At 39.9% G+C, this 14204-nt stretch overlaps 1 protein-coding gene across 20 annotated transcripts in view; it reads left to right on the forward strand.

Moving 5' to 3' along the window:
- RYR3 (ryanodine receptor 3) overlaps positions 1-14204 on the forward strand; it is a 555136-nt gene that overhangs the window by 178440 nt on the left and 362492 nt on the right. The gene's annotated exons all lie outside the window — the stretch shown is intronic.

Below are 14204 nucleotides of genomic sequence, written 5' to 3' on the forward strand. Positions count from 1 at the left end.
GCTCATAAGCTCTCACCATTTAGCTCCCACTTTTAAGTGAGAACATCAAGTATTTGATTTGCTTTTCCTGCATTAGTTTACTGAGGATATTAGCCTCCAGCTCCATCCATGTTCCCACAAAAGACGTAACATCGCTCTTTTTTATGGCTGCATAGTATTCCATGGTGTATGAGTACCACATTTTCTTTATCCAATCTGCCATGGTGAGCATTTAGGTTGATTCCATATCTTTACTATTGTGAATAGTGCTACAATGAATATTCATGTGGAATAGAACATTCTAGAATGATTTCTATTCCTCTAGGTATGTACCCAGTAATGGGATTGCTGGGTCGAATGGTGGTTCTGCTTTTAGCTGAGACATCACCATGCTGCTTTCCACAACAGTTGAACTAATTTATACTACCACCAACGGTGTGTAAGTATTCCTCTTTCTCTGCACCCTCACCAGCATCTGTTGTTTTTTAACTTTTTAATAATGGCCGTTCTGACTGAGATGGTGAGATGGAACCTCATTTGCCCATTCATTCCTTAAAGTTTCATTCTTTTTAAATAATGACCTGACCAAACTCTATGAACTGAACCATTTTGAACCATTTGCAAACAAAAAACTTTTTTATTCTTAACTTCCTGATAATAGAGCAAATAGTTGATTTTTAAATAATTTATTAACAAAACACCCTTGGGAATTTGTTTTTCTTCATCTAAATTATTTCAGGGAATGATTACAAAGTGTTCCTAACTCAAGGCATTCCAGGATTTTGCTGCTTTCTCTATAAGAATGTCTTCAAATCACTTTTCTTCCATTTAACTGAGCTTTATCCAAAGCTTTTAGAGGATGAGAACAATTGGTACAAGAAAGCTGTTTGTAAGCCTCTCTCAAACAGCTGCCTTTGGGCCACTGAGCAGTTGACAAAATTAAGAAACTCTTGACCTAATGCTCTGTTTCTTCTTGGAGCATTTTCATGAAGGATCTTTGCTCTAAGCCCTACTTTAATACTTCACTGTACATCCCAAGATATTTCTACTTCAAAATAGAACAGAATATCATCTCTTTGGGGTGGTTCAGGTGCACTACTGCCTAATAGTACTGAGGGTGGAATAATTGATCTCAGCCTCACCTCTTCAATTCCAAGAGTAGTCACTTCAGACTTGAAATTTGAATTATTACCCTAATAAGCCATGGCATTTAGGTTCAAACAATTTAACTTCTTTTACCTAAAGATGAAGAGAGCTTTTAGAATTTAATACAAGCTGTGAAATGGAGTGAACAGAGGAAGGCTTAATATTATCCTTCAGAAAATTTCAAGTAAACAGCTAAAGAGTATTACTCTTGTTAAAAAAAAAAAAAAAGAGTCAAGAAAGATGAGAACTTTTTGATGTTTATGAGAATTTTTACAACCTTCTCTGGTCAATTTTTGACTTGAAAAATGAGCCCTGTGGTTTTGCTCACTACTCAATTTCCTTGGCAAATTGTGTCAAGAATGCTTCTCCATAAAGATAAGCCTGGCCAGTATCCATGGGGCTTGGCACGGAGTTCTCTTTGAAGGGTGGTGGTTCCCATCTTGAATGAACATATCCATCAGTTCTCATTTTTGTATTGGATGGGGCCAGGAACTAGCTTTTTTTAAAAAAATAAACTGCCAACAATTCTTATGCAGGTGGTCTACAGCCTGCACTTTGAGAAATTGTTGGTGGGGCTGAATTTGCAGTCATTGACCTTATACACCAGTTTCGTCATTTGACTAATATCTTCAGTGACAAAGGAGCTAGCTACTTAGCCAGGTTAGGAGTGCTGGTGTCATCACAAAATAAAGCAAAGCTATGATCTCGACTTCATTAGCAGCACATTCAAACTTACCCACATTCTGTCCTAGGTTTCCGGTTGCTATAGTAATAGATAGACTTGCTTCCTTTCCAAAATATACAAGTTTAATAGGCAGCCAAACATGGCTTTCATCTGTGTCTAGTTCACTAAGAACATAAGGATGAATGCCACAGGAAAGCAAGTGGCTAATCTGAAGCATTTATCTTCATGGGGTCTGACAGACCTTGCTTAGGTCGCTGTGAGCAAGGACTTTGCTTTTTGAGGTGTGGCATTGCTCCATCAGTTTCTATCAATGCATTCATTCTGCCTAGTGTTGCCAAGTGAACTCAACCATTATGTATTGGAGATAACTCTTAGTTATCCAGGAGGGAAAAAGAAAGGCCATAATTTGTCATGCAGCACCCCTTCCCTGTCTTCATTGTTGATGCAGAACCTCAGTAACCCTGGTTAATTACTCAGCAAAGCGGAGGAAGGGAGCTCAAGATGAAAGCCCAGTCATGTGAACTTGGATGGTTGGACAGATGTAGCATTAGACGTGGTATTTCCTGGCCAGTCCCCCCAGATACTGAGTGATGGGTTGAATTCAAGTAGGAGGAGACTGAGTCTCCTAATGGTTTCCCTGTGTTTATCAGAGACAGCTCATGCCCTGGGTGAAAGATGTCAATGACTTCAACCAGGAAAGATTTGGGGAGAAGGAGATCCAATAGATCACCACAGTTCAATGAACACTTTCATTTTACCCAACCTCCATACTTACAGTTCTTCCTGGTAAGGATGACATGATTGAAGAAGATATGGCCTGAGGAGGGGATAGGTCTTTCTATTACCATTCTATTCAAAAACTGATAAGTGAACATTTTAACTCCTGCAGGATCTGACTGGCAGTGCTAAATCCATGCCCAGTGTATATATTTTTAAGTGTCTGTGATGAGTGTTACGTGCTTTCTTGCAGTGGGGATGTATAGTACAAATCCTTGCAGATGTAAACATCTAGTGGTGGTGGTTCAGCTCAGGTAGTATGAGACAGTTGGAGGGGATGGGATCTAGTTCTCTGTGGAGAGATACAAGAACTTTTTCCATTTTGGAGAAAAATATTTATAACATTTATTTCCACAAAGGTTTTTGAAAAGGTATTTTCCACAAACATTTTTGAATATCTGTCCATGTACTGCTGCTAATTATTTTTTAAATCTAGAATTTGGTTTCTAGAGATATTATTTCTCTCAAAGCAAAAAAAAAAAATGCCATGTAGGAGCAAAAAATAAAAACTACATGTCCACATTGGAATTTGGATTCAGTTTGAGAGTAGGAAGAAGGCATTGGGGAAAAATCTCAAAAACATTTGGAAGCCGAGCTGTTTTCCTTGGCTTTCATTGCCCTGAGCTTTGTGTTCACTTCCCATCCTGGGTCCATGAACTGCATGCAGCTAATACTGCAGTCAAGGCAGGACCCAGTACGCTAGAGGTGCTCCCAAAGTGATAAATGATGCTGATGCCGATTGCACCTGAGGAGACAGCCCCACCTCTGGCTACTCTGTCTCTGTTCTGTCTGTCAGCCTTCAGTTCCAGTTTGGCATTTCCTCAGCTCTCGTGGGCGCTTAACAATGCTTTTCTCAGTGTTCCGCTTCCTGTCATGCAATGAAAAGGCCAAGAGACACAGATTCTCCCATCCTGCAGCTGCTGGATACCACTGCCTTGGTAATAGAGAACAGCCTCTCCATGGTTTGTAAATTCTGTAGCAACTATATCATCATTCCAGAGGGAGGAGGGTGTAAGTGGAATGGGAAAGGAATACATGGGAGAGGCAAAGCTCATTTGTGTTCTTCCCACCAAAAGTACAGTGAAACAAAATTTGAGACAAAAACCTGAACATTAGCTCGAGACTTAGACCTTCCTTCTCCCCTCTCCCCTCAATCTTCACCCCATCTCTCTGTTTCTGCCGATCCTACCTCATCTTAGCTGCACCATCATGTACCCTGCCTTCCTCCCCCTGCCGATGCTTACATCCCTAACTTATCGATGGGACACTGTGGTTGATTTTTATCTCCCGTTTGACATTCTGCCTTTTCTCTCTCCTGGCCTCTGCTATTTTTCTGATATGCAAGCTCTTTGGAATAACATCTTCATGGTTTCTCATCACAGCATCCATTGAAAGCTAGAATTCCAGGGATTGTTACGTTCCCATTAAGTTTCCACAGCTCATTGTAGTACCTGTGCTACTCATTAAGTGGTTGCTTATTTATGGCTGTATATTTTTATGACCATATAAAGAGTCAGTGTTTCAGGTATTTCTGTCCATCAACAGTAGGTATTAGTTGCTACTCATCAACACAACTTGTTTTTCCAGGTGCAAGGGTTCCAACTTTTCACCTATTGGCACCTTAGCTTTGTAACATGCCGACCATGTGCTGCCAGGCAGAGGGAAAAACTGGAATATGAAATTTTGCCAGTCCTGCTCAGGAGTTTCTTGGCTCACCGTATTTCTGCATTAATCCTTCCAGAACAAGCTTATACATATCTGTTTTAGCTCTTGTGAGAAATCTCTGAGCACCACCAAAAGAATAATTAGCTGGGTGCTGTGGCACACACTAGTAGTCCCAGCTCTTTAAGAGGCTGAGGCGGGAGAGTCTCTTGAGCCTAGGAATTGGAGTTCAACTTAGGCAACAGAGAGAGACCTTGTCTCAAAATAATAATGATGATGATGATGATGATGATGATATTGATAATTGATGCAAGTGTTGTTCTCACTTGAGTTACTAAACCTTCCTCCAAGAGAGGCTAGACTTTAATGGATCTGTTGATCAATGTCAATTAATAGCTATATATCTGGGCCTTTGAGGAATAGGCAAAGAAACAGTGATTGTGGCTATTTTTTTTTTTAGCTCTTTATCACATTAGATTAGCATTTCTCAGCAAGTCTTTTGTCAAAGGATATTTGTCCTGCAATTTGGATTCTCTGCTTCTAGGCAGTGGTGATGCCTCCCTTACATAAGAAAAGCTTCAGCAAGCGTTTTTCTTAAGTAAATATTTAAGCTTTCTAGAATGAGCTTTTTATTCTATTCAATAAATAAATTTGATAACCTTCTCCAATTTCCTTGCACATGATCAACTTATTCCAACATTTTCCTTCTTAATATTCCTTGTGTTGGAGTAAACCTCAGGCCAGCACAGTGCCTAGAAACAGCAATCATTCTGCTCATGGCTGCAAGTGCTTCTGCTTTAGAAGTCTCCTGGTGCTATGATAGTGTTTTTCCACCACTGTCAGTTCTCTTGGGGCAGCTCACTCATCCCTAGAATGAAGAAGCACCTAGAGAGAGTCTTTGTGCTGAAAGTATTGCATTTCTGTGGTTTATTCCTCAGACATTAGAAGGGGTTTTCTTTACTTCCTTCTTTTAAAAGATACTGACATCTTCCTCCCCACCTCCCAGAAAAAAGAATATTTTCCAGCTATAAGTTTAAATTTTCTGCATCTTACTGTGTACATATAATTGCTTTTGTTAGCAGTGTCTAAACAACATTATAGCTCAAATGTTGTGAATAGCTTCTATAGTTTTCTTCAGAAGAACTTTCCATCTTTTACCATAGCAAAATACCTTTTTAATTTAAGAAAGGTTTATGCATTTTAACTTTATTTTATAATAACAGCTCTTAACACAAACAGGCAAGCTCTCTTTTCTCAAAATCTTTAAAATCTGAATATATACACATTTAAAATCACACATGTGGTCCATAATTGAAACTTGCACCATCATCCCCAGAGTTAAATTGCGTTTTGGAAGAAAAAGCTTATATGGTGAGTCAGTCTCAGATTTTTAGAACTGCATAAAATGAAAATATTCCCACCTGCCTAAGTTTATAAAATATAGATTTTATGAGCTCTTGAGCCCTGATAGTCCCAGTAACTTCAGTCCATAGTCTTTACATTCTCAAAGATTATTCCAAAATAGAGAATGCTTTCTGAGGTACACTCAATAACGGGGTATAAAGTCCTTAACTTTCATTTAAGGCATAAGAGTTGGGAGGTAGGTAGCCTAGTGGGATTAGAATTGTACAACCTTGGGATAGGCATGGGAATGGGAACTCTATCTCCAGGGATATTGATGCAGTATGAGTCAGAAAGAGTTGGGTGTGAAATTTAGGGTTTAAATGTTCATCCCAGCGGTGTGATTGTGGGGAAGTGTTTCAGTCTTTCTGAGTCTTTCTCACCTGCAAAATGGCTTAAAATGTCTTCTCTAAAAGCACTGGTGTAAGGGATAGATGACATAGTATTTATAAAGCATCTTAGTGCAATGCCTGGTACAATTGTATAGATAGTTTCATGGATACATTTAAAATGTATATATGGATTCTATTCTTCTTTCTCTACTTGCCCATATAAGTTTTACCTAGTTCCTTTGTATTTCAATTGACTCACCTCTAATATGGTTGTACAGCCATTGATTATTTTTGTAGAAATCCAGAGAGTAGCCAACAGCATCAGATTTAAACATTCACCGTGTAACTTTCTCCATTATAAACTATCAACAACTTTCCAGAGGTCACAAAGGTAGGCTTAAAAAGCATTTAACTGCACAAATACATAAATAAAATCTGGTTAAGATGAGGTATAGATATTAATGACTGGCTTCACCTTTGAAGTATAACTACAATGCAAATAATTATGTGTTATCGATAATTGATTGGAAGTCTGTAAGTGAGCTCAGGTTTGCTGTAGGTTGATGAGATAATGTCTTTAAAGTGCTCAAAGGTCCTGAAATACAAACTACACACACCGTCTCCACCTATCCTGATGCTGTCCCATGAAAACGTGGTCTTATCCAGTTCCACTGTACCCCATGAGGCCTGGTTGACCTGGGACATTTTCTAGAGGCGATAGTGGTTTTCTGCCTAGGAGAGCTTGAGAAGTCTTCTCATCCATGTCTTTGAGTAGGACTATATAAAACCATCATAGGGAGATGGCAGTCAGCCCTGTTTGAGGTGATGTGGTGTCACGGAGCAAATGCAATGCATATAGAAGCCAGGCCACTGGGGACCGAGTTCATCTCCACCTTCTACCAGCAGACATAATGCCCCTGGAGAAGTAGACTCTGTGTCTACACAATCTGAAATCTAGAGCCACGACAGTGAACACCACCCATATTTATTCCTGAACGAGGCAGTCTCAGGTAGCATGAATAGAGCATAAAGGGGGAAATTGAAGGCCTGATGCAGTGGTGTACTACTTTTTCTTTCCTTTGCTCACACCCATTCCTCATTCATGACATCCTCATATATGCGCTCTTTTTCTTTGAGGAGATGAGAGAAAAAGCAAAGGGGGGAGACAAGGACAGATTCTGTAAAGCCTGTAATTTTAGAATGCTACTTCAATTAATGAAATTTTAAACAGAAGGGAAGAATGCACACACACAATACAAAAAATGGAAAGAATAACTCTCCCATTTGGATCATTCATTAAACAAAAATTTGAGATCTTACTATGTGCAGGAACTCCTTCTTGCCCATATATGAATAAATCGTCTTCACCCCTCAGGCCAAGCTCTTGCCTGGGTGTACCTGCCTAATCACATCATCCCTGGGAAAGTTCCTGCACAACTTTATATGCCAAACCTCTCAATTTAGCATTGAATTTCCTTTTTTTGTAATGTTTTTATAAAGTCTCGTGTACAGTAGATCTGTTTCTTCAAATAGGTAAAAAAAAAATTCCTTGAAGGACAGAAACCATGCCTTACTTCGTTTGTTTGTCCCCAGAGCAGCTGGTACAGGAACGAATGTACATTGTTTCCTTCTCTAAGGACTGACTACCTGCATGGCTAATACGGGAAAGGACAGTGAGGTTAATTGGGCTGACTCTGGTTGCCCAGCCTCCACTAATTCTCCTTTTGTGGAGAATACGCGTTAATTCCCCAGATTCCTCCTCTTCTCCCAGAGGAGCCTGCCTCTGCTGACATCTGCAGAGATACCCATACATCACCACAGAAATTTCTCCGCTTTCCTGTCACCTTTCTGTTGGCCCAAATGAGAGGTCCCAGTGGGCTATCTGCCAAGTTAAATGCTGTCTACATGGTCTTTCTGACACTTGCCATGACTTGTTCTTGCTGAGTCCTGTCCTTTTTGCTTTCTGTCCCATCCAGTAGAAACCTGCTCATCTCCCACTCTTGCTCCATCATCTCCCATATCCAGTTAGTCACCAGGCTTCATCTCTAACTTCTCAAGATTTTAAAAATCCATTCCCTTATCTCTATTCCTGCTGCTGCTACTTTAATTTAGGCCGTTGTCACCTCTTACCCAGTTGACTGCAAAACCTCCTAATTTATCTCTCTGCTTCAGCCTAGCCCTCTTTATCTGTCTTTTTAAAATTGGCACATAAGAATTGTACATATTTTATGGGGTACAGTGTGATGTTTTGATTGATATATACAATATGTAAGGATCAAATCAGGCTAATTAGCACATCTATAGCCTCAAACCTTTATCATTTCTTTGTGTTAGAAACATTCAAAATCTGCTCTTGTGGCTATTTTAAAATATACATTAAATTATTGTTAACCATAGTCACCCTAAGTGCTATAGAACACTAGAATTTATTATTCCTGGCTAGCTGCAATTTTACATCCATTAACCAGCCTCCCTCTCCCCACCCCTTCCCAGCCTCTAGTAACCACCATTCTACTCTCTCTACATCTATGAGATCAACTTCTTTTAATTCCACATGTGAGTGAGAATATGCAGTATTTTTCTTTTTGTGCCTAGCTTATTTCACTTAACATAATGTCCTCCAGACTCACCCATGTTGCCACGAATGACAGGATTTTAATCTTTTTTATGGCTGAATAATACTCCATTATACATATGTGCCACATTTTCTTTATCCATTTATTTGTTGATGAACACAGATTGATTCCATATCTTTGCTATGTAATATGCAATAAGCATGGGAGTGCAGATATCTCTTCAATATACTGATTTCATTTTCTGTTCAGTAGTGGGATTGCTGGATCATATGGTAGTTGTGTTTTAAGGACCCTCCATACTGTTTTGCATAATAGCTATACTAATTTACATTCCCACCAACAGTGTATAAGAGTTTTCTCTTCTATGCATCCTCATCAGCATTCGTGATTTTTTGTCATCTTGATAGTAGGCATCTTAACTGGACTACTATCATTGTGGCTTTGATTTGCATTTCCCTGATTAGTGATATGAGCATTTTTCAAATACCTATTGCCCACTTCTGTGTCTTCTTTTGAGAAATGTTTATTCAGACCATGTGCTCATTTTGTAGTTGAGTTTTTTTGGCGGGGTGGGGAGGGGGCTGTTTAGTTGTTTGAGTTCCTTGTATATTCTAGATATTAATTCCTTGTTGGATGAATAGTTTGCAAATATTTTCTCCCATCCTGCAGGCCGTCTCTTTACTCTGTTGTTTCCTTTTCTGTGCACAAGCTTTTTTGATATAATCCTATTTATTTTTGTTTTGTTGCCTGTGTTTTTGAGATCTTTCTTATTCATAAAATATTTGTCCACACCAATGTCCTGAATCATTTTTAGATGTCTTCTTCCAACAGTTTTATAATTTCCAGTCTTGCATTTAAGTTTTTAATCCATTTTGAGTTGATTTTTGTATATGGTGTGTGTGGGGTATTGTTTCATTCTTCAGCATATGCACGTTCAGTTTTCTCAGCACCATTTGTTGAAGAGACTGTTCTTTCCCCAGGGTATGTTCTTAATGCCTTTGTCAAAAATCCGTTTAGCCTTCTTAACACTGGACCTGCAATTCTTTCAAAGATGCAAATTTGATTATATCATTTCCTACATAACTTGCTCTAATGGCACCCTATTCTCTGAAAATGAAGCCCAAACTCCTCCTTGGCAAGAGTACCCAAGACCCAGTCTAATACCTACTTCTTCCTCAGCCTCACTTCTAACCTCCCCATGCTTACTCCCCTCCCTCTCTCTCCCTCCCCTTCCTCTCCCTGCCTCTCCTCCTCTCTCCCATTTTCTACCCCTCTTTACCTCTTTTCGCTCCATTTCCCTCCCTGTCTTCCATCCTTTTCTCCCCATCTCTCCCTCCTCCCCCTCCTCCCTCCTGCCACTCTTTCTTCCCCTCTGTCTCCTTCTCTCCTCTCCATTCCAGACATCCTCAACTCTGTGTGCTTCCTCACATGTTTTCTTACCTCTGGGCCTTTTGTCTCATACTTCAAAAATTATTCATTTGCTTCACTGACATTCCACTAAATCACACAATCCTGTAAGGCAGGGATTTTGCCTTATTTTTATACAAATAAGAACTTCAAAAATATATTAGTGAACATATAAGTGAGTTACTGAGTTTTGATTTCATTGCTGTTTTTTGGATATGCTTGACATTTGTTAAATATTTACTGTACACATCAGATCCTATTTTAAGCTGTTTAAGTAAAAAACCTTAGTTTATTTTGAGAAGTAGGTACTATTATATCTCCATTATACAGATAAGGAAACAAAGGCATGTGTAACAGAAACTAAGTTACCTGCATAATGTCATTCAGCTAGCGAATAGTCGATCAGAGATTTGACTTCAGGTAGTCCTACACTATAGTGTTCACTCTTCACTGGTATCCCCTATGGTGCCTTCAGAGCCATTGACACACCTACAAGGTGTATCACTGAGGCATGACTGTGTATGAACCAGATGGATTAACAGAGAAGAGACAGGGGCTCGTGACCACGGGGAGAAGAAAGACGTGTTGAATAACAGGCAGGAGACTTGAGGAGTCATTGCAATCTGTCTACAGCCACAGCCATAATCAGCACCACACTCCTGGATGATAGTCTTGAAGGACACAGGATCTGTTCAAGAAGACTTGAGTTGGGTGCTTACTATTCTATGTACTTGGGATACCAACAATAGAATAAGGCACAGATTCTTTCAAGGGACCCACAGTCTGGTGAAACAGACAAACCTCAATGCATCAAGAACGATATAAGCCAAAACAGACTGCAGTTAACAGTACAACGGAGAGAGGTGATGGTCTTCCTTTGTGTAATTAACTCCCTACCTCATTTCCCTGAGGGCTTGGCTAGTGTATGCTAGCACAGTGCGAAGTGAATGTTGTGGATTGCCAGATAGAGAAATGCTAAATGACTACAAAACAGGGGCAGCAGATTCCTACTAGCCAGGATTCAATAAGCCCCAGAAAAATATGCCATTATATAGATTTATGGAGCATGGAGGATATATAGACCTTGCCTCCTACTGTTTTCCACATAGTGAGGCTAAGTGAATCCTAGTTCCTGGCTTATCCAGGGCCCTGGCCTCTCAAGGTTTCCTGTAGGACATTTGGAAATGTAGTGCTTCTCTAGGTTCAGGGCAGGGCTTGGGGAGAGTGATGAGGAGCTATTTCAGAACAGATGTCAACAGAGCCCTTCTCTCCATGCTGAGAGTCATCAAACACTTGCCCCGTGCCTGCCAGGTAGAGTGACTGAGGCCACAGGTTCCACAGCACAGACACAATGAGCTGGCCTCCTAGGGGACTCTCATGGCTACAAACAAATTAGCTTTAATGGACGAGTGGCCTTTGCTCATTCATCAGGAGTGTGGAGGTGGGAGTTCAGGCCAGTTTGGAGTTTAATTAAGGATGGCAGCTGGCATAGCAGGTCAGATGGCTCTGTGCTCCATTCATGTCACAAGTTTTTCGTTGTTTTGTTTTTCTCCAGACATTCCAGTTGCTCTGTTCCCTCCCTTACCACTGCCCACACATTGTTTTGGGTGCTGTTGGAGTGGCATGCTCTTATTTCCAAGTACAGAGAGTCCAGGCAGGGACCACACACCAGAGGTACAGAAACTAAGCTGCCAGGAAACTCTGTAAACTAGTGGCAGGTACAGTGCTCCCATTTGAGAGGCTTCCTCTCCATGCACACTATTGTCCTGTTTAAATATACCCATTCAAACCAGTAATGAAATTGTGAGCACCTGGGGACTTTCAATACCTGGACTGAAAGGACAGCTATAATCATAGCATGCCTAGTGTCCCTATTATCTATTAGTGCTTCTCCTTCAAAATGGCTGATGGCAGAGACAAGGAGAGCTCCTGTCTCCTGTCTCAAACCAGACACAGGAAGGAAAGCAAGCTGACTTAGAATTACATGATGTCATGTAAGGGCAGAATCTTTAGCATTTGGAGCTATGAGGGTTTCTGTCTTAAAGAGAATAGACTGAATATGTTATTGTAAAAGTGGGCATTAATGTTGTGACCATTTAATTTGCCAAATTAAACTTTAAAGCAGACTTTAAAGGGCCAACCATAACTGCAGACATTCTTCAATGGGAAATCTCCAAATCATTCATTCTGATGAATTGGAAGAGGAAGAAACAAGCAAACTATGGCTTTTATGCTTCCTGTTCTGGGAACATGAAATTCAGGTAGGCAGAGTGGTAGAAAAATCTCTATAAAATCTCCTGAGATGGCATCATATTTTGGAAGGCTAAGTTAGACAATATATGTTTATGGTATAAGGTCTTAAGGAAATGCTTTATCATATAATTGTATGCTATTTGTAATAATGCTGTATGTACTGTACAAACATTTCCTGGACATGAAGCTCTGCCCTGCATCACCAGCTGCCTGCTTGCTCAAGTCCCATACAAATAAGTTAATTACCTGCTTTGGGAACAGACTTTGAAAACAAAGGGAGCAACACAAAATAAAGGCGGTAATCCTCCTCTGTTACAATCTCTTCTTAGTTAATGGTTTTAATAAAAAAGGATTGGGCAAATTCCTGTATTGCCAGAATTCTAAGACTAGGTTTTTAGGATTTCTCAGCATAGAGACCTTGAGTAGAAAAGTATTTAAGTAGAAAAGTACTCCCTCAAATCCTTAGTAGAAAAGTACTTGAAAATGTACGTCACCCAGAGCCAGTAGCCTTTGGAATAGGATTGTCCATTACTGGCTTAAAACTTTAATAAAGGAAAATTGTAGGCAGGTCCAGCAGGCCGATTATCTTATTTTTGAGAATGTTGCAGTTGGGAGGGGAGGAAGAATAAACACTCAGAAATTAAAGGGAACTTAAAGATGGTCAATTCCATTATTTTTATTTTAAAACTAAATGCTGAAGTTAGAGAGGTTGTCGGAGCCTTAGTAACAGACTTGGTTTAGCTTTTAAAGTGGAGCTCCATGGAAACAGCTTTACCTGTTTTGAAGTGTTAGGCATGGCTGTCGGTAGTTTCTGGCCCTCATTCCTCATTCCTGTTGTTCTCATGGTATTGATGTTCTGCCAATATCATGTAGGAAACAAAGGATTGGTACACAGGTGATCACAAGCTGTATTCTCAAGGAAAATGGTGTGTCATTGAAATGGGATTGTAAACTCCAGAAAGGCAGTGGTTTTGCTTTGTATTTCTTTGTATCTTTTCCAATATCAAGCACTACGTAAATGAAATATTTGAATATTTGCTGATCTAAAATGTTCTCACAGTGAAGAAAAACTTTAATATTTTTCTTAGTGGCAGGAACAGTGTAGGGTTAAGCACATGGACTTTGGAGACAGACTGTCTGGATTTGTATCTGACTCAGCCAAATGTAACCCTTGGGCAGGCGACCTAAACTCACTGTGCCTTCGTTTCCTTGGCTAGAAACTGGAATATTAATAGTCCCTCTCTTATAGGATGGTTGTGAAGATTAAATGAGTTAACCTATGCAAAGCCCTTAGAACAGTACCTGGCATAAAGTACTCAATAAATATTAGCTACTGTTAGTATGCAAAGAAGGCTATCTTTAACTGTTAAGAAATGTCCCAGAATAGGCATGAATGTCACGATGTTAACTGGTCACTGTTAACTGATTCTAATAAATTGGAATGATTGTTATAGGGATCATCAATTCTTAAAGTTCTGGACATTCCTTTGATTATGCTATATTTATATAGCTCTTAACCCCCTCTGTGGCCTCTTTTTATACTCTATCTAGGTTTTCTTAACAAATAAATGGATTCTCTATTAGGGTCACTACTGTCTAGAGCCACATTATGGTCTGTCCACTGCCCTTTTACAGATTATCGTGGATGAAATCCCAGTGGCTTTCTTTCTCTGGTCTCACCCAGACGTGGCTGTAGATCAGCCTTCCCTTCCTCTCCCTTCTTTGGCAAGGCTATATCTGTGTTCTTCCATATGAACCACCAGCCTTCCCTCAAGTCGATCCTGACATGTTGGAAACTATTCCCTTGATATATGGGGCTTTTCTTACCATTCTTTAGAAACCAGCTTAAAACCCATCTTGAACAGGAGAAAGCCACCTTTTTGCATTCCTATTCATCCATCCAACTGTCATTTTGATTCATAGGCTCTTTGCCCTTGAGATGTTGTTGCGTGACTGATCTCTGACTGATATGAGTAGGTATCCTCA

The sequence above is a fragment of the Homo sapiens genome, chromosome 15 (assembly GCF_000001405.40).
Source record: "Homo sapiens chromosome 15, GRCh38.p14 Primary Assembly".
Classification (NCBI taxonomy): Eukaryota; Metazoa; Chordata; class Mammalia; order Primates; family Hominidae; genus Homo; species Homo sapiens.